The sequence below is a fragment of the Homo sapiens genome, chromosome 21, assembly GCF_000001405.40.
Source record: "Homo sapiens chromosome 21, GRCh38.p14 Primary Assembly".
NCBI lineage: Eukaryota > Metazoa > Chordata > Mammalia > Primates > Hominidae > Homo > Homo sapiens.
The window spans coordinates 44,403,717-44,428,453 of NC_000021.9; the positions used below are offsets into that span (position 1 = coordinate 44,403,717).

General features: G+C 53.9%; 1 protein-coding gene and 1 long non-coding RNA gene across 12 annotated transcripts in view, besides 4 other annotated features; one reads left to right on the forward strand and one right to left on the reverse strand.

Moving 5' to 3' along the window:
* The window catches only part of TRPM2 (transient receptor potential cation channel subfamily M member 2), a 92,504-nt gene that overhangs the window by 53,576 nt on the left and 14,191 nt on the right, over positions 1-24,737 (forward strand). For 2 of the 11 annotated variants that reach the window (NM_001433516.1, NM_003307.4), the window contains 11 exons: positions 1,426-1,544; positions 2,189-2,321; positions 2,878-3,049; positions 10,175-10,358; positions 14,211-14,392; positions 14,707-14,839; positions 19,929-20,016; positions 21,136-21,223; positions 21,954-22,111; positions 22,944-23,020; positions 23,294-23,395. In NM_001433516.1, coding sequence (NP_001420445.1) covers positions 1,426-1,544; positions 2,189-2,321; positions 2,878-3,049; positions 10,175-10,358; positions 14,211-14,392; positions 14,707-14,839; positions 19,929-20,016; positions 21,136-21,223; positions 21,954-22,111; positions 22,944-23,020; positions 23,294-23,395 — 1,436 coding nt within the window. Of the gene's footprint in view, positions 1-1,422; positions 1,545-2,188; positions 2,322-2,877; positions 3,050-10,174; positions 10,359-14,210; positions 14,393-14,706; positions 14,840-15,231; positions 15,322-18,553; positions 18,704-19,928; positions 20,017-21,135; positions 21,224-21,597; positions 21,734-21,933; positions 22,112-22,943; positions 23,021-23,293; positions 23,396-24,737 lie in introns of those variants that run through there. The other 9 variants (XM_011529736.3, NM_001320350.2, NR_038257.2 and 6 more) reach the window with 9 other exon arrangements.
* Positions 1,828-3,027: an enhancer, noted in NCBI's record as "CDK7 strongly-dependent group 2 enhancer chr21:45825427-45826626 (GRCh37/hg19 assembly coordinates)". NCBI's record gives its function as "activates an origin of replication core promoter dependent on BRD2, BRD4, P300/CBP, MED14 and CDK7 cofactors, with strong dependence on CDK7, by STARR-seq in HCT116 cells {active_cell/tissue: HCT116}" and the evidence as "EXISTENCE:reporter gene assay evidence [ECO:0000049][PMID:35650434]".
* TRPM2-AS (TRPM2 antisense RNA) lies at positions 10,874-21,847 on the reverse strand. The gene is made up of 3 exons (NR_109964.1): positions 21,434-21,847; positions 19,660-19,765; positions 10,874-11,228 (listed from the first exon to the last, which is right to left on the reverse strand). It is a non-coding gene; the product is annotated as a TRPM2 antisense RNA (long non-coding RNA).
* Positions 19,695-19,754: an enhancer, noted in NCBI's record as "active region_18573". NCBI's record gives its function as "activates an Ori minimal core promoter by ATAC-STARR-seq in GM12878 lymphoblastoid cells {active_cell/tissue: GM12878}" and the evidence as "EXISTENCE:reporter gene assay evidence [ECO:0000049][PMID:35858748]".
* Positions 22,770-23,681: an enhancer, noted in NCBI's record as "H3K4me1 hESC enhancer chr21:45846369-45847280 (GRCh37/hg19 assembly coordinates)". NCBI's record gives its function as "activates a minimal SCP1, AML or CMV promoter by ChIP-STARR-seq in naive H9 embryonic stem cells {active_cell/tissue: H9 hESC(naive)}" and the evidence as "EXISTENCE:reporter gene assay evidence [ECO:0000049][PMID:30033119]".
* Positions 23,682-24,593: an enhancer, noted in NCBI's record as "H3K4me1 hESC enhancer chr21:45847281-45848192 (GRCh37/hg19 assembly coordinates)". NCBI's record gives its function as "activates a minimal SCP1, AML or CMV promoter by ChIP-STARR-seq in naive H9 embryonic stem cells {active_cell/tissue: H9 hESC(naive)}" and the evidence as "EXISTENCE:reporter gene assay evidence [ECO:0000049][PMID:30033119]".

Below are 24,737 nucleotides of genomic sequence, written 5' to 3' on the forward strand. Positions count from 1 at the left end.
ATGCATGGACACACATACATGCATATAGAGATGCACACACATGCATACACATATACATGCATGCACACATACAAATATACACAGATAAACACATGTATACACATGCACACACATGCATACACACATTACACGTGTGCATACACACAAATATACACATACATACACATGCACATACATATACAGCACACACATGCATACACACATACACATGTACACAATATACACATACACATATGCACACATACATACACACATGCACATACACATGCATACACACATACACATACACACATGCACATACACAAATATACACATCACCCAAGCACATATACACATATACATACATATGCACATGAACAAACATGTACACACATACACACACATATATACATATGCACACATGAATGAACATACACATATGAACACACACATACAGACACATACACATATATACACATGCACACACAAAAACATGCAAATACACATATACACAGAGACACACAGATACACATACACATGCACACACACAAACATGCATACATACACAATACATGCAAATGTATGTGCATACACATATACATGCACACATACATGCACATACACATATACACACATGCATACACATACAAATACATGCAGACACATACAGAATGCACACATACATACACACACATATGTGCACACATACATATTCACACGTATACACACATACATGCAGAATATATGTACATACACATATATGCACACACAGGTGCTGAGTGAGCAGGGGGCCGAGGTAGCTGCTGCCAGCGCTATTCTGCATTGTTCCTCCACGTCCTGTTCCCATCTCCCTCACTGACCCAGCTCTCTTCAGATCAGAACCAATGTTCGGATTTGCTGACCGTGATGATAGTGATGATAGTGATAGTGATGATAGTGACAGTGATGATAGTGACGGTGATAGTGATGATAGTGACAGTGACTGTGATTGTGATGATGATAGTGGATAGTGATATGACAGCGATGGTGACAGCAAGGATAGTGATGATAGTGACAGTGATAGTGATGATAGTGACAGTGACTGTGATGATAGTGGATAGTGATATGACAGTGATGGTGACAGCAAGGGTAGTGATGATAGTGACAGTGATAGTGATGATAGTGACAGTGACTGTGATGATAGTGGATAGTGATATGACAGTGATGGTGACAGCAAGGATAGTGATGATAGTGACAGTGATAGTGATGATAGTGACAGTGACTGTGATGATAGTGGATAGTGATATGACAGTGATGGTGACAGCAAGGGTAGTGATGATAGTGACAGTGATAGTGATGATAGTGACAGTGACTGTGATGATGATAGTGGATAGTGATGTGACAGTGACAGTGAGGATAGTAAGAGTGACAACCTGTCTGCCTTCCTACCGCCCCTCTTCCCAGTAGCTCTTCTATGACCCTGACGAGTGCGGGCTGATGAAGAAGGCAGCCTTGTACTTCAGTGACTTCTGGAATAAGCTGGACGTCGGCGCAATCTTGCTCTTCGTGGCAGGGCTGACCTGCAGGTGAGTGGCCTCACCCCGATGGCGGGCCCGTCTGAGGCAGCCAGCCCTGCAGGGGATGAGCACAGGCCGGGCCCAGAACCAGCCACACCGGGTGAGGCTCAGCTCGTCTGTGAACCCTGGATTGTCATCTGTCCAATGGGTGTCCAGGCAACAGCGCCCCACCTACCCTTGGGATTGTTGAGGGAGCACAGAAGGGGCATGAGAGCTCCTGGCAGAGCTGAGATTGTCCATGTGCAAGGGGCCATAGATGGCAACCTCTGGAATTGTCCCAGCTCCACGGACACGCGGCTGCCGCTTTCTCCCTCTGCCTCCCTACTGTGGGCTCACTGCACTGCCTGTGATGCTCTCGTGTCTCTGCGAGGCCGCGGCCCCCTTTCTCGGAGGCAATAGGGCCCTGGCTAACTGCTGGCTCTCCAGGTGCCCCCATGCCAGGCTGCCCTGTGGGGCTGGGCGTCTGAAGAAAAGTGGGAGGCTCTATTCCTCAATCTCATGCCAGCTTTGAACACCTGGGATGCAGGGCCCACCAGAGCCCTTTGCCTCCAGGGCCCACCTGGGCTAGGACAGGTGGAGGGGCGACGGGGGACAGCTCTGGGGGCTGCTGTGAGCAGGTGGCTGAGATGTGTGTGCTTCTGCCCGGCGGCCAGGCTCATCCCGGCGACGCTGTACCCCGGGCGCGTCATCCTCTCTCTGGACTTCATCCTGTTCTGCCTCCGGCTCATGCACATTTTTACCATCAGTAAGACGCTGGGGCCCAAGATCATCATTGTGAAGCGGATGGTAAGGGGGCGGGGGCACCGGCTCCATCGCGGCCTGCAGCCCAGGGTGGGCCTCGGGGAGGGCAGGCCCCTTGCCAGTGGCTCGGACTGGGGCTTAAACACACCTGTAGGTTCCCCGTCCCTGCTTTGCCCCTTGGGCTCCCAAGAATGCCCTTCTCGTATCTTTGCCTGTACGTCACCTCTTCCAGGAAGCCTTCCCTCATTCTCCCCTCTGATCCCCACTCATTCCTGGCCTCTGATTCAGCTCTAGGAGCTTTCCTCCTTGGTCACGGTTATGTCTGACCGCACTCATTCCTGGCCTCTGATTCAGCTCTAGGAGCTTTCCTCCTTGGGTCACGGTTATGTCTGACCCCTCTTGCACTTTGTGGTGCTAGCACAAAGATGTCGGCAGTCCACGAGGGTGTGGGGGCAGCCCCAGGACTGCTCCTGGGAGCCTCCTGCATGCCGTGTCTGTGCTGTGAGTGGCAGTGCTGTCTCCACCGCTGCTGGGCCTGCCTCTGGGCCCAGTGAGCATCGGGGGCCAGGAGAGTGTAGCCCACACACTCTCTGTCCTGCAGATGAAGGACGTCTTCTTCTTCCTCTTCCTGCTGGCTGTGTGGGTGGTGTCCTTCGGGGTGGCCAAGCAGGCCATCCTCATCCACAACGAGCGCCGGGTGGACTGGCTGTTCCGAGGGGCCGTCTACCACTCCTACCTCACCATCTTCGGGCAGATCCCGGGCTACATCGACGGTAGGAGCCGGGCGCCATGGGAGCTCGGGTGGTGCTGCCGGGAAGCAGGAGAGAGGCTGGAAAGGGGCCGCATGAGTGGGAGTGAGGCCGGCTCCATCAGGGGGTCCTGCGGTTCCCACCTGGCCGGTGTCCTCCCTGGGGGCATTCATTCCCCAGCTCCTGTGGCAGGAAGTAGAAGGGGCCCCACCAGGGGAGGGAGGAGGGGGGCCTGGTGGGGGTGAGTGGTGCCACGCAGAGGTCAGAGTGGGCCGAGGGCACCTGGGGCATCAGCTGACAGCCCCCTGAAATGGAATGTCACCCTGTATCCCCTTTCCCTCTCACCTCAATCAGAAATAACTTCCTTCTTCTCTTGATGGAAATAATTCATTCCTCCCTTCCTCCCTTCCTTCCTTCCATTTTTTGACAGGGTTTTGCTCTGTCACCCAGGCTGGAGTGCAGTGGCACGTCCACCTCCTGCGCTCAAGTCCTCCTCCCACCCGTCTGCTGAGTAGCTGGGACTGCATGTGCACGCCAACACACCCGGCTAATTTTTGTATTTTTTGTAGAGATGGGGGTTTCAGCATGTGGCCCAGGCTAGTATCGAACTCTTGAGCTCAAGTGATCCACCCCCTTGGCCTCCCAAAGTGCTGAGATTACAGGCGTGAGCCACCATGCCTGCCAGAGAGAACACTTTTCATATAGAAGGTTTTTTTTTTTTTTTTTTTTTTTTTTAACAGCTTCATTGAGAGAAATTTCACCTGGATAAAGTGCACCTGTCAGTGGTTTTCAGTATCTTTACAGAATCTAACTTTATAACATCTGCATCACCCTGAAAAGACCCTGCATACTCACAGTCACTCCCGTTCCCCTCCCCTCAGCCACAGCCACCCACGAAGCTACTTGTGAGCTGCCTTTTCTGGGCGTTTCATAGAAACTGGATGATGTAATAGGCAGTCTTTGGTGTCTGACTTCTTTCACTTGATGTCCCGTTTTCAAGGTTTGTCACCGTGTATCAGTATTTACTTCCCGTTTATGGCTGAAGAGGACCCCGCTGTGTGGACACACCACATTTTGTTCATCCATTCATCAGTTGGTGGACATATGGGTTGTTTCCACTTTTCCTTTTTTTTAAAAAAAATTAATATTTAATTTTTTAATTAAAAAATTTTAAATTAATTAATATTTAATTTTTTTTTTCCCCTAGAGGGAGTCTCGCTCTGTTTTCTTTTTCCCGAGAGGGAGTCAGGCCAAAGTGCAGTGGCACAATCTTGGCTCACTGCGACCTCCACCTCCTGGGTTCAAGCAATTCTCCTGCCTCAGCCTCCCGAGTAGCTGGGATTACAGGCACCTGCTACCACGCTTGGCTAATTTTTGTATTTTTTTGTAGAGATGGGGTTTCACCATGTTGGACAGGCTGGTCTTGAACTCCTGACCTCAGGTGATCCACCCGCCTCGGCCTCCCAAAGTGCTGGGATGACAGGTGTGAGCTACCGCGCAGGGCCGTTTCCACTTTTCACATGCTGTGAATAACGTAGCATGAACAGTTATTTACAGGGTTTTGTGTGGGTATGTTTTTATTTCTCTTAGACACCTAGGAATGCACGGCTGGCTCATATGGGAACTCCATGTTTAAGTTTTTGTGGACGTGCTGGGCTGTTTTCCAAAGAACCGGCCGCATTCCACATTCCTGCCTGCCCAGTCCCAGGATTCCAATTTCTCTACCTTCTTGTCAACATTTGTTATTGTCCATTAAAAAAACAAAGCTCGCATCCCGGTGGGTGAGAAGTGGCTCTCCTTGTCGCTTTGACGGGCATTTCTCTAAGGACCCGCCATGCTGAGCATCTCCTCCTCTGCTAACCTCGTCGTCTGTAAGTCTTCTTTCAAGAAATGTCTCTCCCTCTCCTTTGCCCTTTTTTTTTTTTTTTTTTTTTCCGACAGGGTCTCGCTCTGTCACCCAGGCTGGAATGCAGTGGTGCGATCTCAGCTCACTGCAACCTCTGCCTCCCGGGCTCAAGTGATTCTCCTGCCTCAGCCTCCCGAGTAGCTGGGACTACAGGCGCACGCCACCACGCCTGGCTAATTTTTGTATTTTTAGTAGATACAGAGTTTCACCATGTTGGCCAGGCTGGTCTCGATCTCCTGACCTCGTGATCCACCCGCCTTGGCCTCCCAAAGTGCTGGCATTACAGGCATAAGCCACTGCCCCCAGCCATCTTTGCCCATTTTTCAATTGAGTTGTCTTTTATATTATTGAGTTGTCTTTTATATTATTGAGTCGTAAGAGTTCTTTACGTAAGGATGCCAGTCTCTTACCAAAGGTATGATTTGAATTTTTTTTGTCAATCTGTGCACTGACTTGTTATTTTCTTTATGGTGTCATTTGATGCACGAGCTTTTGAAATTTTGATGATGTTCAACTTATCAATCTCTTTGATCATTGTGCTTTTGGTGTCCTAGCGAAAACCATTGCCGTGATTTATGCCTGTGTTCTACTAAGTGTTTTATAGCTTTCGCTTTTTGTTTGCCCTGGTGTGCGGTAAGGGTCAGTCTTCGTTGTGGCTCTCCTGTTGTCCCAGCACTATTTGTTGACAAGACTGTTGTTTCCCCAGTGAAGCATCTTGGCATCCTTGTTGAAAATCAGTGGACCATTAACATAAGGGCTTATTTCTAGAGTCTCAGTTTGACTCCACTGATGTCTGTCCTTGTGCCAGAACCACACTGTCTTGGTGAGCATAGCCTTGTAGTAAGTTTTGACCGCACTGTCTTGGTTGGCGTAGCCTTGTAGTAAGTTTTGATCGTGCTGTCTTGGTTGGCATAGCCTTGTAGTAAGTTTTGACCGCACTGTCTTGGTTGGCGTAGCCTTGTAGTGAGTTTTGACTGCACTGTCTTGGCGTAGCCTTGTAGTAAGTTTTGACTGCACTGTCTTGGTGTAGCCTTGTAGTGAGTTTTGACCACACTGTCTTGGTTGGCGTAGACTTGTAGTAAGTTTTGACCACACTGTCTTGGTGTAGCCTTGTAGTAAGTTTTGACTGCACTCTCTTGGTTGGCATAGCCTTGTAGTAAGTTTTGACCGCACTGTCTTGGTGAGCGTAGCCTTGTAGTAAGTTTTGACCACACTGTCTTGGCGTAGACTTGTAGTAAGTTTTGACCGCACTGTCTTGGCGTAGCCTTGTAGTAAGTTTTGATCGTGCTGTCTTGGTTGGCGTAGCCTTGTAGTAAGTTTTGACCTCACTCTCTTGGTTGGCGTAGCCTTGTAGTAAGTTTTGACCTCACTGTCTTGGTTGGCGTAGCCTTGTAGTAAGTTTTGATCGCGCTGTCTTGGTGAGCGTAGCCTTGTAGTAAGTTTTGACCACACTGTCTTGGTGAGCGTAGCCTTGTAGTAAGTTTTGACCGCACTGTCTTGGTGAGCGTAGCCTTGTAGTAAGTTTTGATCGCGCTGTCTTGGTTGGCATAGCCTTGTAGTAAGTTTTGACCGCACTGTCTTGGTTGGCGTAGCCTTGTAGTGAGTTTTGACTGCACTGTCTTGGCGTAGCCTTGTAGTAAGTTTTGACTGCACTGTCTTGGCGTAGCCTTGTAGTAAGTTTTGACCACACTGTCTTGGTTGGTGTAGCCTTGTAGTAAGTTTTGACCACACTGTCTTGGTGTAGCCTTGTAGTAAGTTTTGACTGCACTCTCTTGGTTGGCATAGCCTTGTAGTAAGTTTTGACCGCACTGTCTTGGTGAGCGTAGCCTTGTAGTAAGTTTTGACCGCACTGTCTTGGCGTAGACTTGTAGTAAGTTTTGACCGCACTGTCTTGGCGTAGCCTTGTAGTAAGTTTTGATTGTGCTGTCTTGGTTGGCGTAGCCTTGTAGTAAGTTTTGACCGCACTGTCTTGGTTGGCGTAGCCTTGTAGTAAGTTTTGACCTCACTGTCTTGGTGAGCGTAGCCTTATAGTAAGTTTTGACCACACTGTCTTGGTGAGCGTAGCCTTGTAGTAAGTTTTGACCACACTGTCTTGTTGAGCGTAGCCTTGTAGTAAGTTTTGACCACACTGTCTTGGTGAGCGTAGCCTTGTAGTAAGTTTTGACCGCACTGTCTTGGTGAGCGTAGCCTTGTAGTAAGTTTTGACCGCACTGTCTTGGTGAGCGTAGTCTTGTAGTAAGTTTTGACTGCACTGTCTTGGTTGGCGTAGCCTTGTAGTAAGTTTTGACCTCACTGTCTTGGTGAGCGTAGCCTTATAGTAAGTTTTGACCACACTGTCTTGGTGAGCGTAGCCTTGTAGTAAGTTTTGACCGCACTGTCTTGGTTGGCGTAGCCTTGTAGTAAGTTTTGACCGTGCTGTCTTGGTGAGCGTAGCCTTGTAGTAAGTTTTGAAATTCGGAAGTGTGAGTCCTAATTTGTTCTTTTCCAGGATTGCTTTGGCCTCTGGGTCCCTTGGCTTCACAAGAATTTTTGGATCAGCTCATCAATTTCTCCAAAAAGGGCATCTGTGATTTTGATTGTGAACATGGGATGTCTTTTTGCTTATTTAATTCTTTAATTTCTCTCAATAATGTTTTATAGTTTCCAGTAATAAGTCTTAATGCTTCTTCTGTTAAATTTATTCCTAAATATTTTATTATTGTCCAAGCTATTATAAATAGAATTGTCCTATTGATTTCATTTCAAATTGTTAATGACTGGTATGTAGACATACATTGTCTTTTGTAGATTGATCTTGAACTCTGAAACCTTGCTAAACTTCTTTATTACTTTTAATAGTTTTTTAGTGGATTTGTCATATACGAGACCATGTCATCTGCAAAAAGAGAGTTTTACTTGTTCCTTTCCAAACTGGTTGCCTTTTATTTCTTCTTCTTGCCTAAGTGCCCTGGCTAGAACCTCCAGTACAATGTTGAACAGAAGGGACAATGGGGGACATCCTTGCTTTGCTCCTGATCTTAAGACGAGTCCACTGATCTTAGGGAACAAGCCTTTCACCATTAAGTGTGATGTTAGCTGTGGGGCTTTTATAAATGTCCTTTATCAGGTTGAAGAAGTTCCCTTCTATTCCTAGTTTCTTGAGTGTTTTTATTGTGAAGGAGTGGTAGACTTTGTCAGCTGCTTCTCCTGCACTTATTCAAATGTTCAGATGGTCTTTGATCCTTTTACTATTAATATGGTGCATTCCATCAATTGACCTTCGAATGTTAAACCAACTTTATGTTCCTGGGACACGTCCCACTTGGTCTTGGTGAATAATCTCTTTTACATGGTGCTGGATTCACTTTGCTAGCTGTTTTTTGATGATTTTTGCACCTATATTCATGAAGGTTATTGGTCTGTGGTTTTCTTTTCTTGTAATATGTTTGCCTAGTTTTGGCACCAGGATAATACTGGCCTCATAAAATGGCTTAGGAAGTAGTTCCTCCTCTTATATTTTGGAAGAGTTTGTAAAAGAGTGGTTTTAATTCTTCCGTGAACATTTGGTAGAATTCACCAGTGAACTCCTCTGAGTGTGGACTTTTCTTTGTGTGATGTTTTTAACTTACTAATTCAATCTCTTTATGTGTTATAGGTCTATTTATATTTTCTATTTCTTCTCCAGTCACCTTTGGTAGTTTGTGTCTTTCTAGGAATTTGTCCATTCATCTAGATCATCTAATTTTTTTAGCATACAATTTTCTCTAGGATTTCCTTTGAGTTCTTTTTCTTTTTGTAAGATTAGTAGTAATATCCTCTCTTTCATTTCTGATTTTAGCAATTTGAGCCTTCTCTCTTTTTTTCCTTGATCAGTCTTAGCTACAAGGTGGTAATTATTTTTGTTGCTCTTTTTCAAGAACTGAGTTTGGTTTGTTGACATTCATTGTTTTTGATTTCTCGATCTCATTTATATTCTAATCTTCATTCTTTCCTTCCTTCTGCTTGCTTTTGGCTTGTCTCAGGGAAAGCATCCAGTCTTTCCCACTGGGTATGATGTTAGCTGCAGGGTTTTTGTAAATGTCCTTTCAATCAAAGAGGTTCTCTTTGATTCCTAACTTCTTGAGTGTTTTTATTGTGAAAGGGTGGTTTGCTCTTCTTTTTCTAGTTTACTACAGTGGGAAGTTACGTTAATAATTTCAGCTCTTCTTTATTAATATAGGAATTTATAGCCATCAGAGTGCGTTTCTATCTTAGAAAATTAGTAACACATTCAAAATAGGTTTGATTACCCAATAATGCATTGCTCATTGTTGAACAATTTTAAAATTCAAGATAAGTATAAGGAAAGAATGTTATTCATAATTTCACCTCCCGGAGTTAACTACTGTTAACAACTTACTATGTTTCCTTAGAGATTTGTTTAAGGTAGAAGCTGTTTCCATATTCAATAGCCCTTACTTTCTATGCACGCAGGACGCTATTTTTCTTCACAATCACCCGTTTCACTTGTCGATACATTGCCTCTGCAACATCTTCCCTTTTCCACATCTCCACGTCTCCCTTCTCTTTGGGATAGTTGTTATTTTTTTCCTTTTCAATTCTTTTTTTTTTTTTTTTTTTTTAATTTTTGAGACAGACATTTGCTCTTGTTGCCCAGGCTGGAGTGCAATGAGGCAACCTCGGCTCACTGCAACCTCCACCTCCCTCCCGGATTCAAGTGATTTTCCTGCCTCAGCCTCCCGAGTAGCTGGGATTATAGGCGCCCGCCACCATGCCTGGCTAATTTTTGTATTTTTAGTAGAGACAAGGTTTCACCATGTTGACCAGGCTGGTCTCAAACTCCTGACCTCAGGTGATCCGCCCGCCTTGGCCTCCCAAAGTGCTGGGATTACAGGCATGAGCCACTGCTCCTGGCCTTTCCTTTTAAATTATTTCCACCAAATTGAACTCCCCAGGCTTGGGACCTGGTGCTGGCCCTGGCTGGGACCCTGGCAGTGCCCTGGTGGGTGGCACACCCTGGGCGGAGGCACGGGCCAGCCTGGGTGCAGCTCTGCCCCCGGGGCCTCCTACCTGCATCTGGCTGGAGACAGATGCCTCTTTCTGGACTTCTGGCCCAGAGGTGACAGCTGAGGTCACCCAAATGAGCAGCATCAGGCCTGCGGGGGACCTGGCAGTGACTGGAGGCCTCGAGGGCCCCCTCCTGCCAAGCTCCTCTTGACTCTGTGTTGTTTTCTTGGCTCACCCACCCCCATTCCCAACGCCAGGTGTGAACTTCAACCCGGAGCACTGCAGCCCCAATGGCACCGACCCCTACAAGCCTAAGTGCCCCGAGAGCGACGCGACGCAGCAGAGGCCGGCCTTCCCTGAGTGGCTGACGGTCCTCCTACTCTGCCTCTACCTGCTCTTCACCAACATCCTGCTGCTCAACCTCCTCATCGCCATGTTCAAGTGAGCGCCTGGGTGGGGCTGGCGTGCAGGTGGGTGGGTGGGCGGCGTTCCTGGGCCGCAGTGGCCATGCTGTCTCCAGGGTCTCGTGGACAGTGTGGATGATGGGCTGGTGCACAGAGGCGCGTCACTCATATCCTGGTGGAGTGTGCACAGCCACTCTCTGTGGTCACTGCTGCGTCTCTTGAGCTGGCGTGAGTCTGTCTCTTGAGCTGGCGTGGGTCTGTCCTTGTGGCTGCTGGGGACCCGCGGTGCTGTGGATCCACAAGGGCCCTGCTCACGGTGCTGCTGCGGAGGCAGCCTCCTCCCGCAGGGCAGGGATGTTGGTGTCAGCCTCGTTCCTTCTGCGCAGGCGCAGCATTATTCATGGGCTCACTGCTCTACCCGGGGAGCGTGCTGGGGCCGCTGCTGCTCAGGGCTGTCCCCTTGTCACCCCAAGGGCTCTGCCTGTGTCTCCCTGTTACTGAGCAAAAGGGCTCGCTGCCCGATGTGCAGGAGGCCAATACTATGACACCAGGTTTTTGAGAAAAGAAAAGCTTTTATTCTAGGCCAACCCACAAGGAGACAGGGGCGCAGTTCACGTCTGTCTCCCCGCGCTGGCTTTAATGCAGTGTTTCTATTAGGGAAGGTTCGGGGGTGGGTTCTTGGATGAGTAAGTGGCTGGTGGAAGAAAAGGGGGTTCTGGAAAGTTATGTCTCCTCATAGGTCTCGTGTGCACATTTGGGCGGAGTTACTGGGACCCTGGGGTGGAAACTCGGGCTGTGCAGACTCCAGCTGGCCACAGTGGTTCCAGCTGTGACCTCAGCCAGTTCCAAAAGCTCCTGCAAGCGAGTCTCAGCATCCCAGCAGGTGGCTTCTTTTCCCGTCTGCCATCTGTAAGTGTGAGCATTTCGGTTAGTTGCTGGGTTCTTTAGCTCTTTGGGGCCGGTTCCCCAGCCCTAGACGTGTTCCTGCTGCCCCCACCGTGTGCCTCAGACGGCGCTGGCTCTGCGGTGCCTTCCCCAGAGCTCCGATCCATCTGTGGACGGCTCTGTGTCTGCCCTCCCGTGCCATTGGGGTCTTCCTCATCTGCACGTCTTCACGTGCTTTGCTGGTTTTGTGGATTTGCACACACGTGTCCACCTCCTCTGGGCCTGGTGTTTGTGGCATCTGTGGCAGTTTGAATAACAGCCCCAGGGAGGTCCACACTCGAACCCTGTGGCTATGGGGCCCTATGTGGCAAAAGGGACTGGGAGGGTGGGGTTAAGTGGAGGATCCTGAGGTGGGAAATTATCTGGGGTTATCTGCATGGGCCCGACATCATCATGAGGGGCCGTGGAAGAGGGAGGCGGAGAAGGAATGTGACGGTGGCAGTGAGCGTCGGCGGGAGGGGAGAGCCTCAGCCCAGGAATGCAGGCAGCCTCTGGAAGGCAGGAAAGGCAAGGCATGGAGGCTCCCGACCTACGGGAGGAGCACAGCCCTGCCGAACCTTGGTTTTAGCCCAGTGAGACTCCTGACCTCCAGGACTGAGAGAAGAGTCTGATTGCTTTAAGCTGCCAAGGCCGTGGCGGTTCACTACAGCAGCATCAGGAGACCCATGCAGTAGCTGTTTCTTCTCTTTGAAAATGTCTAGGATTTTCTTTAAATCCTAGTGTCTTGAAGTCTTATCATAGAACTTTTGGAATGTTATTTGCTATTGTTGCTTTTGAAACAAGGAGTACAAAATAGGTGGCTGTCCATCCGGCCCCTGGTGGACGTGGTCCTCTGGGGTCGTATCTCTGATCAGCCGCAGCAGCTGTGGGCCCCAGGCTTTGGGGGTTCTGTTTTGCTCTTGCAGCTTTTAAACTTAGAACAAATTAAATGCTGAGGACCTCACACCAGAGGCAGCATAAAAAAGAACTCCAGGGAACCAGGAGGCCACGCAGAATGAAAACACAGGTGTTTGGGGTCCTAGTGGGCCCCAGGGTTGGCTCTGGGGGTTCTGTGGCCAATTCCTAGCCCTGACAGTGGAGCTGAGGAGCCCAGCACGGCTGCGGAGCTGTCATGGTCCACAGAAAGCCCAGTCTCCCCACGTTGCCCCCATAATTCAGAAAGCCTCCCAGGCCCTCAGAGCCCTTCCCAGCATCTGCAGACAGACCCTGTGCTACCCAGGACTCTGAAAATCCTTGTGTTCCTGGTTTTGTTAGGAACCAACCGTTTCTCTTCTTGTTTCATTGGCTAAGTTGCTGAGGTTGCCACCTTTCAGAACGTGGGTTCTGAACATTGAGAGAACCCGAGCATGGGCCAGGACTGTCATCTCGAGGCCAAGGGGCTGGTGGCAGGACACTGTCCCTGCAGCAAGTATGGCACCCACACTTCCGGCTCCCACTGCGGAGGGCTCTGTGCCTGTCACCCTGAGACACACCAAGGAGGCCCCTGCAGCCCTGCCCCTTCCACATGCACCCCTGGAGGGTCTGGCTCTTGTGCTCGTCAGAATCCACAGATCAGGTCCTAGAGTTCAGTGCCAGACAGTGTCTGTCTCCTGATAAACACCCACTTCGTGTTATTAGCCAGTGAGGCTTATAATATCGAAAGTCTGTGTGCTTCTCCTTTTTTCTTGCTTTGGTTCCCAGGAAGCCTGGAATTGTGAGGTCTGTGGGCTGAGTTCTGTGCCTGGAGCTGGCCTCCCGTGTGGCGTGGCTCTGCTCTCTGTGGCATCACAGTGGGCACGTGGGCATGGCTCTGCTCTCTGTGGCATCACAGTGGGCACGTGGGCATGGCTCTGCTCTCTGGCATCACAGTGGGCACGTGGGCATGGCTCTGCTCTCTGTGGCATCACAGTGGGCACGTGGGTGTGGCTCTGCTCTCTGTGGCATCACAGTGTGCACGTGGGCGTGGCTCTGCTCTCTGGCATCACAGTGGGCACGTGGGCGTGGCTCTGCTCTCTGTGGCATCACAGTGTGCACGTGGGCATGGCTCTGCTCTCTGGCATCACAGTGGGCACGTGGGCATGGCTCTGCTCTCTGTGGCATCACAGTGGGCACGTGGGCATGGCTCTGCTCTCTGTGGCATCACAGTGGGCATGTGGGCATGGCTCTGCTCTCTGGCATCACAGTGGGCACGTGGGCGTGGCTCTGCTATCTGTGGCATCACAGTGGGCACGTGGGCGTGGCTCTGCTCTCTGGCATCACAGTGGGCACAAGGGCGTGGCTCTGCTCTCTGTGGCATCACAGTGTGCATGTGGGCGTGGCTCTGCTCTCTGGCATCACAGTGGGCACAAGGGCGTGGCTCTGCTCTCTGGCATCACAGTGGGCACGTGGGCGTGGCTCTGCTCTCTGGCATCACAGTGGGCACGTGGGCGTGGCTCTGCTCTCTGTGGCATCACAGTGGGCACGTGGGCGTGGCTCTGCTCTCTGGCATCACAGTGTGCACGTGGGCGTGGCTCTGCTCTCTGGCATCACAGTGGGCACGTGGGCGTGGCTCTGCTCTCTGTGGCATCATAGTGGGCACGTGGGCATGGCTCTGCTCTCTGGCATCACAGTGGGCACGTGGGCGTGGCTCTGCTCTCTGTGGCATCACAGTGGGCACGTGGGCGTGGCTCTGCTCTCTGGCATCACAGTGGGCACGTGGGCGTGGCTCTGCTCTCTGTGGCATCACAGTGGGCACGTGGGCGTGGCTCTGCTCTCTGTGGCATCACAGTGGGCACGTGGGCGTGGCTCTGCTCTCTGTGACATCACAGTGGGCATGTGGGTGTGGCTCTGCTCTCTGTGGCATCACAGTGGGCATGTGGGCGTGGCTCTGCTCTCTGTGGCATCACAGTGGGCACGCAGGCGGTGAGAGGGGTCTGTTCTGGGTAAACACCCTGACCTCGAGGTGTTGCTTTCTCCTCCCTGACAGCTACACCTTCCAGCAGGTGCAGGAGCACACGGACCAGATTTGGAAGTTCCAGCGCCATGACCTGATCGAGGAGTACCACGGCCGCCCCGCCGCGCCGCCCCCCTTCATCCTCCTCAGCCACCTGCAGCTCTTCATCAAGAGGGTGGTCCTGAAGACTCCGGCCAAGAGGCACAAGCAGCTCAGTATGCCAGCCCCAGTGCCTCTCCTGAATGTCCTGGCCACCCGGGTGCAGAGGGGGTGGAGATGGCATGGCAGCTCTGCCCAGAACCCTGGACGCTCAGCAGGCGTGCAGGTCACTCAGGCTGCTGGCCTTCTGCTGGCCTTGAGCAAGTGGTGGGGGCTGAGCCCAGAGGCCCCCTTGGGGGCAGGTGTGCGATGGGCTCTTCCTGCCACTCAGGACTGGCCCCCTCCCACGGGGCCCCCCCGGTGGGTCAGGGCTTCAGGGCCCACCTCCTGAGGATTCCAGGTCCCCTGGTCTGTCCGCCCACCCTGACAGAGAACAAGCTGGAGAAGAACGAGGAGGCGGCCCTGCTATCCTGGGAGATCTACCTGAAGGAGAACTACCTCCAGAACCGACAGTTCCAGCAAAAGCAGCGGCCCGAGCAGAAGATCGAGGACATCAGCAATAAGTATGGGGGCTCCGGTGGGCCTGGGGGCGGGAAGCCTCTGGGGGACCTCCTGCAGGTCCACAGGCACCATGAGTACATGTCCCACCTGGGGAGGCCCAGCAATGCCTCACCGGTGAGGGAGCGCTGTATCCCGTGGCCCCTGCAATGCTGCAGGCATCCGGGCCTGTGCCCACAGCTGACCCAGGACCCTCTGCGGTCCTTAGGAAGGCTGGGCCCCACAGGGCGCAGGGTCAGAGGCTGGGAGGGAAGCCTTGGCGGCTGGGGGAGGGGCAGGTTGGCCCGCAGGATCCGGCTTGGAGGCCTGGGGGCATGTGCACACGGGGTCCAGGCTGGTTTGGGGGTGGTTTGCTCTGTGAGCTTGTTGGTGCACAGCCTTATTATAGCTTCTGCAGGACCTCGGCAGCCCAGCCCTCGGGGTCAGCCATGCTCAGCACCGTCCTCCCTCTCAGCTCCTCCCATCTTGCTTCTTTCCAAGGTGCGAGGTCAGTGTTGGGGGAACATCTGCTCCCTTCTCTCCACTGCCAGGCCTTCCGCCCTGCTAGGTGTCAGCAGGGCCTAATGGCCCAGCAGCGGGCAGCAGGAAGGGCTGCCCCCAGTGTCCTGCTCTCAGTGTGCGTCTCACCATGGCATGAGAGGAGGAGGGGGAAATGGACACGGTGCCACCTAGTTATGGCCGTGTGGAGGCTCCTGCAGCCACAAACAGGAGCATCCTGGAGCTGGCAAGGGATGGCCAAGACCAGGCCAAGTGCCCTCCCCCTTAGAGACATGTATGTACTCCTGCCTTTCCATACCTCCCTCACCTTGTCTGTAAGATGGAGACACGATAGTCCCTGTCTCTTGGAGTTGTTTCCAGAATACAGTGGGGTCCTGACTGTAAAGAATTGAGCACATATGCTGGAACTATAACCAGGGATCTGCTAACGTGGCTGGTGCTTTTATCATCACCCTTACTTATGAGTAGTGGGGGCGGTGGTGGTGATGGTGATGATGGTGGCTGCGATGGTGATGGTGGTGGTGGTGATGGTAGTGGTGGTAGTGGTGATGTTGGTGATGATGGTGATGTGGTGGTGATTGTGATGGTGGTGGTGTTGGTGATGGTGGTAGTGATGGTGATGATGATGGTGATTCTGATGGCTGTAATGGAAGTGGTGGTGATGGTGGTGGTGATGGTAGTGGTGGTGATGTTGATGGTGATGATGGCAGTGGTGGTGGTGGTGGTGGTGATGGTAGTGGTGGTGATGTTGATGGTGATGTTGGCAGTGGTGGTGGTGGTGATGGTGGTGATGGTGCTTCTGATGGTGGTAATGGTGGTAGCGGTGATGGTGGTGGTGGTGGATGGTAATGGTGATGGTGACAGTGGTGGTAGTGATGGTAGTGGTGGTGCTGGTGCTGGTGGTGGTGACGATGGTGGATGTGGTGGTGGTGATGATAGTGATGATGGTGATTATGATGGCAATAGTAATGACGATGGTGACAATGTGAGGACCTTAATGAACTAGCTGATGTCAAAGCCCCTTCTAGCTCCCATTCTGAGTGAACTAGATACACGTGTCCTGTTTGCTTGAGTCTGGGCATGATGACTTCCAGTTGAGCCCTTGGCATGCTCTTTGCCTAGAACAGTCTTCTCCCAGAGAGAGTCAGGACTTGCTGTCTCTCTCTATTCAAGCCTCACTTCATTGGAGGGCCTTTCCTGCCCTCCACCCACCCTGTCCCCATCCCCTGTCGTTCTGGAATCTGGATGTTGGTTGGTTGGCTGGTGGGTTTGTGGGTTGTGTCATGTCTAACTGCCAGGCTCCATGTGAGAGTAGGGACAGAGTCCCACATGTTCCCCATAGTATCCTGGGATGTAGAGCAGGCCCAGTGCCTAGAAGGCACTGAGGAAATCCTATGCAATTCTGGAACTGCTGTTAGTTCCTGGCCTGGCAGGGTTGCAGGAGGCTGGGGTCGCTGGTCTCCAGGCCTGCTCAGCCCTGACGTTTGGCTCTGATGGTCCACTTACAGAGGAGGGGGGCCTGGGGCCATGCAGTGCCCTGACAACCTTCTCTTACTTGCTGTTGCCAAGTACAGCTTTGATGGATGGCCTCGTCTGGGACTTTGAGCAGTGGCCATGCCCAGGGCCCAGATGCTGGGGGAAGGTGCTTGGGAGAGTTTCTGAAAGGCGGCCTCCGCATGTCAGGATGAAGCTGGAAGGCCACAGCTCTGCTGATGACCAACATAGTCAGGGCTGGAATATGATGGCTGGCATGTGTTAAGGGCTCATTGAGGACCACACCCTTCACCTGCATCATCTCGCTCAACCCTTTTGCAGAGGGAGGTATTTTTCCTTCCACTTTTACCCATGAGGAAGTGGAGGCCCAGGAAAGTGAGAGAGGTGGCTCAGCTTCCACCACTGGCCAGCGGTGTGGCCTGGAATGCAGGCCCCAGCAACTTTGCAGCCTCCTGCCTTAAGGGAGTGGGCTGGACCCCAAATGAATCAGTCCCAGGCCGGGCGCGGTGGCTCACGCCTGTAATCTCAGCACTTTGGGAGGCCAAGGTGGGTGGATCACAAGGTTAGGAGATCAAGACTATCCTGGCTAACATGGTGAAACCTCATCTCTACTAAAAATACAAAAATTAGCCGGGTGTGGTGGCGTGCGCTTGTAATCCCAGCTACTTGGGAGGCTGAGGCAGGAGAATCGCTTGAACCCAGGAGGCGGAGGTTGCAGTGAGCTGAGATCGCGCTGCTGCACTCCAGCCTGGGCGACAGAGCAAGACTCCACCTAAAAAAAAAAAAAATTTAGTCCCAAATGCCTCTCAGCTCCTGCCCTATCCCAGACATCTTAAAGCTCAGAGCTGGTCTGCTGCCTATTTCCCAGCCTAGGTGCTCAGTGGAAGTTGGGCGCCTCCAGTTATTTTCTGAGGTTGAAAAAGCTTAACTAAAATATAACTTTGCAGGCCAGGCACAGTGGCTCATGCTTGTAATCCCAACATTTTGGGAGGCTGAGGTGGGAGGATTGCTCGAGCCCAGGAGTTCAAGACCAACCTAGGCAACATAGTGAGACCCCCATCTCTACAAAAAATAAAAATAACAATTAGCCAGGCACGGTGGCTCATGCCTGTGATCCCAGCTACTAAGGAGGCCACAGCAGGAGGATTTCTTGAGGCCAAAAGTTTGAGACCAGCCTGGGTAACATAGTGAGACCCCATCTCTACAAAAAATAAAAAAACAACAACAAAAAAGGAAAGAGTAGCCAGGTGTGGTGGTGCACATGGGGTCAGAGTCCCAGCTGCTCAGGAGGCTGAGGCCAGGGGTTCGAGGCTGCAGTGCGCCATGATGGTGCCACTGCACTGCAGCCTGGGTGACAGGGTGAGACCCTGACTCTAATGCATATTTGTATGTGAGTAGAAGTTTTCCCAAGATGAGCCTGCAGAACGTGTTTCCGCTGGGCCGCTGGCTGGTGTGCTGAGCTGTCACTCCCATTGGTCAGCAGCTCTTGCTCATCCGCAGAGGGGCCTGGGACAGAAGCTGATGTGCTTCAGTCGACCTGATCTTGCAGAACACGGGCTCCAGGGAAAGTGAGGAAAGAGCTCCTCAGCCCGTACCAAGGGCCCTAGCCTGGTCACCGTCCCCTCCTCCAGTGAAGAAGCTGGGCACCTGGGAGGCGCATGAGTGTGGGGTGCCATAACCTTGCAGCACTGAGGTGAGCTGAGTTCACCAAAGCTCCTCGCCCACAGGGCAGGGCTGGAGCTTTGGGGGTCAAGGACAAGCTCTGTCTGCAAATCTAGACAGTTCCTGCATCTCACGGTGGTGGAATCACGCGGGTCCGAGAAGGCTCCAGTAACCACCCTCGCATGTTTGCAAGGCTGTCTGGGAAAACATGGCAGGTGCGGTTAAGCGGCTTTTGTGGGATTAAGCAAAATGAAATGTGGGTGAAAGGAGATGCCCAGGCCTGGAGCGAAATCACTTTCTTCCCTCTCCCTAGATAACTGTTTAAAGTGGGTCATATCCCCAGAAAGTTTCTGTGTTACTAAAATAGTTGCTCAGTGTATTATAAGAATATCACTTGCAGTGGGCGCTGTGGATGAAAGGAAGTGAGGGAGCCCAGGGGACAGCGGATGAGAGCTGGAGACTCGGGTTTGCCCACAGAGTTATTTTAACCATAAACACAGCAGGCCGAGGCTGGGCGAAGCAAAATAAGACAGAAACCAAACATTTCCAGAATAATAGCGCCGCTCTACAACCCCACAAAATAAGACAGAAGCCAAATACTCCCAGAAAAACAGCGCTGCTCCACAACCCCCACAAAATACGACAGACACCAAACATCCTTAGAACAGCAGCACTGCTCCACGACCCCCACAAAATAAGACAGAAACCAAACATTTCCAGAATAATAGCGCCGCTCTACAACCCCACAAAATAAGACAGAAGCCAAATACTCCCAGAAAAACAGCGCTGCTCCACAACCCCCACAAAATACGACAGACACCAAACATCCTTAGAACAGCAGCACTGCTCCACGACCCCCACAAAATAAGACAGAAACCAAACATTTCCAGAATAATAGCGCCGCTCTACAACCCCACAAAATAAGACAGAAGCCAAATAACTCCCAGAAAAACAGCACTGCTCCACAACCCCCACAAAATACGACAGACACCAAACATCCTTAGAACAGCAGCACTGCTCCACGACCCCCACAAAATAAGACAAAAACCAAATATTCCCCAAGCAACAGTGCCGCGCCACATCACCCCCAAAACAAAACCAACCTCTGCTGTGCCCAGAGGAAGTTTCATTGTTTGTGACCTGTCACCTGGCCCTCCCTCAGTTCACTCACCTCCCCCTCTCTCCTGGGACCGACAGGCTGCCAGAGCTTGCCATGTGAGCCTCGGCTGTCCGTCTGCTGAGACATCTTCCCCTCTGGGGCCCTGGGCAGTTTGGTTCTATGGGAGAAATGCATGTTAGAAATAGTTTCATATTAAGAGGAAGCAAAGGCTGACACAGGGCCTTGGTGGCTGCATCTGGCAGGGCTGTCTGCAGAGCGGTGTGGCGTTCCCAGGGCCCCAAGGTGTGGTGTGCGTCCAGCTCAGCTGCTTCCTCTTTCAGGGTTGACGCCATGGTGGACCTGCTGGACCTGGACCCACTGAAGAGGTCGGGCTCCATGGAGCAGAGGTTGGCCTCCCTGGAGGAGCAGGTGGGTCCGAGGTCGGGGCCTCCGTCAGGAGGTGCCACTGCTGGGCCTGGTGGGCGGCTCTGCCATGTGGTGGCACCAAGAAGGAGGGCTCTGAGGAGTGATGGTGAGGAGGAGGCCGGAACGTTGGGGCAGCCATTCCCAGCTGGAAGAGGCACCCTGTGTGTCCTCCAGAAAACCCCGCCCAAGGGTTTCTGTGACTGAGTTCCTTCTGTGTGCACTGAGGCCTCCACGGCCGGGCTGTGCTCCTCGCTGCTCCCAGGAAACAGAGTGCTTCTCCCCTCCCGGCCTCCAGGGAGGCTGTGGGACTCTGTGCCTGAGCCCTGGAGAGGCCGCAAGACCGAGGTGGGGAGGACTTAGAGACGGCCTCTCAGGGTCTGCTCCCACCACCCCATCAACGTCCACCAGCTGGGCCGGGCTGTGCTGTCCAACAACAGCACCTGCGGCCACGGCAGCCCCTGCGGGCAGTGCTGAGCCCTGTGGATGGCTCAGCCACCCTGTGCTGCTGCTCCCAGCCTTGCTCTGTGGGGCAGGGCTGGGACCTGTGCTGCTGGGGCATCCACCATCCACCAGTCCTGCCCGTTGCACCCAGGGGTCTGCCCAGGCCGCCCTCTACCCCTGTCTTGGCCATGCTGGGACCCCTGACAGGGTGCCCAGCACTGAGCCACACGAGTGAGACATGTCCCACTGTCCCCTGTGGGAGGCGCATCAGCCTCTGGGGAGGCTCCTCCTGGGAGGTGCAGGAACCCTGGAAGCCTCTGGCTTTGGCGGCCTGTGACCTCTCCCTGTGGTGCAGAATTGCCTGACTGTGCCTTCATGCTGGCTCCATCCTCTGGCTTGTCCAGTGCAGTGACAGTCCCACTGTTGTGTCTCTTGGGGAGGCTGCACCATCAGATGTGTGACTTGGCAGCCCCCGGGGGGAGCCGGGTGGGCCTGGGGCAGCGTTCTGGCTGGCTTGGTGGCTGCCTGGGGAGGACGTGGTGTCTCACTTTCAAAGGGCGCAGGGGCTGAGTGACAGGGGTGGGGCTCCTGGCTGGGGGAGTGAAGTCTCGGTGGGCAGTGGGGTGTGTACCATGCGTGTGGGTGGCAGGTGCTCACTGTGTCTCGGGCCATGCCTTCCAGGTGGCCCAGACAGCCCAAGCCCTGCACTGGATCGTGAGGACGCTGCGGGCCAGCGGCTTCAGCTCGGAGGCGGACGTCCCCACTCTGGGTGAGTGGGTGGCCAGGCCAGCAGCTGGTCTCCAGCCGCCTGTTTCTTTTGGGTCTGGGGTCAGTTGGGAGGAGAGGCAGCTGGGGGTGGGGGGCTCTGTCCAGGAGGAAGGCACTGGCTGCAGCCTGTTCCAGGCAGGGCCAGCGCCCTCAGGAACTCAGCCCACCCACCGACGCTGGCGCCGAGGCCCCGCCCAATCCCTGACCTGACCTGGTTCCTGGACGTCCACGGGGAGGCCTGGCCTGCTGTGCCCTGAGCTCCCCACATACCGCACTGCAGAGTGGGGGTGCGAGGCGGGCGGCTGCAGACTGTGTCTGAACCTGGTCACGTAGGCTGAGTGACGAGAAGCAAAGTCTGTTTTCCTAAATTCGCAGCCGGCTATGAAATGCACATCAGTAGCCTTCCTCGGGCTGCTGAGTTTCGCCGGCCCTCAAGGAGCATATTTGCCCTCGTAACCGCACTGCGAGTTCAGCTCATTGCCGAGGGCCCTGACTGCCGCTGCACAAAGAGGCAGGTGCCGGCGGGGACGCTGCCTGAGCTCCCGTGGCTGTCCTCCCTGGGGGCCCTGCCCACTTCAGAGCTGGTGTTCGACCTGCATGGCCATTTGGGCTCGGGGAGGTGGAGGAGCCCAGATGTTTTGGCGGAAGGACCACAGAGGAAGTCCTTGTCCTGCGGGCGGGCACCTGAGCCCGGGCTCCGCCTTGCGTCACGTCTTCCTGACTGTCCCCAGCCTCCCAGAAGGCCGCGGAGGAGCCGGATGCTGAGCCGGGAGGCAGGAAGAAGACGGAGGAGCCGGGCGACAGCTACCACGTGAATGCCCGGCACCTCCTCTACCCCAACTGCCCTGTCACGCGCTTCCCCGTGCCCAACGAGAAGGTGCCCTGGGAGGTGAGCGCCTGCCCAAGCCCAACCAGGCGGAGTGGCCGGGCCCCTGGGGAGGGGAGGGCGGCCCTGTCCCCATCCATCTGGTATTAATCCTGGCTCCCAGCCACTGCAGCCACAGGGGGATCTGTGCGTCTGGCAGCCCCTGTTTGACATTTGAGGAAACCGAGGCACAGAGAAGTCAAGTCACAGGGGCCTCACAGCTGGAGGTGGTGGAGGGGCCTGAGGGGGGCACACTGATCCCCACAGAGCTCGAGGCTTAGGCTCCTCCCATGACCATCCCAGGGCCCAGCCCCCCGGCCCCATTCCCCCAGGTCATGCCCTGGTCCTAGACCCCACCCACCCCGGTGAATGGCTCTGGCCCCTTTCCAGGTGCCAGGCATGGAAGAGAGACAGAGACACAGAGACAGAGAGATGGCTAATGGCCCCTGGGAGACCCCCGCCCTCCTGGTGCAGGGCTTCTCTCTGGCCTATCCAGAACATTCCAGGCTGCTGCTTCCGCTGCCTCCCCTTGGTCTCTACCACATAGAATCCTCCTTGCCTCTAGGGTCCAGCTTAGCCCCCTGCCCCACTCTGGGAAGACCCCCAAGGCCCCCAAGTCACGGCCACCTGCCCTTCAGCTGGCCCCAGGGTGGGGGTCCCTGATCCCAGCCCCCGGCCCTGCCCAGCCCCCAGCTCTGCCTGGCACCCGGATCTGCCCAGCTTGGAGCTTCTGCCCTGCATGTTGGGATGTTGGGGTCGGGTTCAGACCCAGCTGAGCAGCCCTTTCACCCTGGTGCCTGGCCCAGCTTTGCAGTGGGGGTAAAAATCTGAGGGAAAACTCCCTGTTTTGCGACAGACGGAGTTCCTGATCTATGACCCACCCTTTTACACGGCAGAGAGGAAGGACGCGGCCGCCATGGACCCCATGGGAGAGTGAGTATGAGCCGCTGTCCGTGCTCCCAGCTGGCCCCAAACCCAGGGCCTCCTAGGGGCTCCCTTGAGAATCCCAGTCAGAGCCCAGCCCGGGGAGGTCCAGGTGAGCAGGAGGGGCCCGTGGGGGCCTGAAGGGGCCCAGCTCCTACTGTTGTGTACACCCAGCCTGCAGCTACTCGGCTGGGCCCTTGGTGGGGGGGTGATCCCTCTGCCTGTCTGCTCTGTCCCACCTGCAACACGGGCACACAGACACGCCTTCTCCTCTGCTCCCAGCACCCTGGAGCCACTGTCCACGATCCAGTACAACGTGGTGGATGGCCTGAGGGACCGCCGGAGCTTCCACGGGCCGTACACAGTGCAGGCCGGGTTGCCCCTGTGAGTGTGCCCCCTGCGGGCCCCGCCCCGTCAGCCTTTGGGGTTTGCCTGGGGGGCAGGTTTCCTCTCTGGGCAAAGGAAGCATTTTTCTCATAAAACAAAATCAAAAAAAGCACGTGAGCCACCGAAAGGAAGAAAACATCAACTCACTGCATCTCCGTAGCCCCCAGGACTGGGCTTGGGGGCGTGGGACTTGCCCCCTGGCCTCGGGCAGGCCCTGCCCCATGGTCCCTGCCGTAATCTGGGGACGTGGATTTGTCTGTGTACGTGGGGATGGCTGTGCTGGGAGAGGACGATGCCTCAGAGGATGGGCAGGGGCTGTGCGGCAGGGAGGGGACACGGAGATGGGCACTGGCAGGCTTACCTGGCCGGGAAGGTGGCCTCGCCTGGCATCCTGTTCCCCACAGGATCGGCGCTGCACCCATCACACAGGTGAGGAAACCCAAAATAAAGGTGTCAAGTGTCCTGTGAGCACCTACAAGTGCCCTGGAAGGAAGGAGCCTGGGAGTCTTGGACCCTGCCATGAGGAGGAGGTGGAGGAGGGGCCACCAGAACCTGGGACTGGGGGGTTGCCGGGATGTGGGGCATGAACCATGGAGCAGAGGAACCAAAGGGTCTGAAGGACGGGGGGACTGCGTGGCAGGCCTTTGCAGAATGCTCTGGAACAGGGTGTGGGCTCCTCTGCCTGGAGCCGGAGGTTGAGTAAGGAGGTGGTAGGAGGCGATGGGGCCTGAGAGCAGAGGTCCTGGCCAGGTGGCTGCAGCTGCAGGCGGCCCGCTCTGGTGTTGGGGGTATGTGGGACGGGCAAGGGCGGGTGTTTAGGGAGGTGCATCCGGTGGCTATGGGAAGCTGACGAGGAGAGCAGCAGGTGCCTGGCATGGGCAACAAGGCGTGAGCACCTGCTCTCACGGGTGGCTGCCACACAGGCAGGTGTGTCAGGACTTGGCAGGACGTGGTGTCCATGCGGGCTTTAGTAGTGCAGAAGAGCACTTTCTGTATGCACCATGCTTCTGTTGTGGACTTGCGAATCATATTTTCATTATATTTCCTTAGGTGTGTTCTCTTTCTATGAAATTATAAAGACACACCTTCCTATATTCATTTGATACATTTTAAAATTAGTTTTTTTCACTGAGACTTTAATACAGCTGAAGGCTGATTGTATAAGGTGTGAGGAGGGGCCTGATTTATTTTGTGAATTCACAGAGAAAGTGAGCTGCCTGACTTCATTTCCTGCTAAGATCTGGCCCCTCCCCTGAGGTGTGGCTCCTCCCTGAGGTGTGGCTCCTCCCCTTAGGTGTGGCTCCTCCCCTTAGGTGTGGCTCCTCCCCTTAGGTCTGGC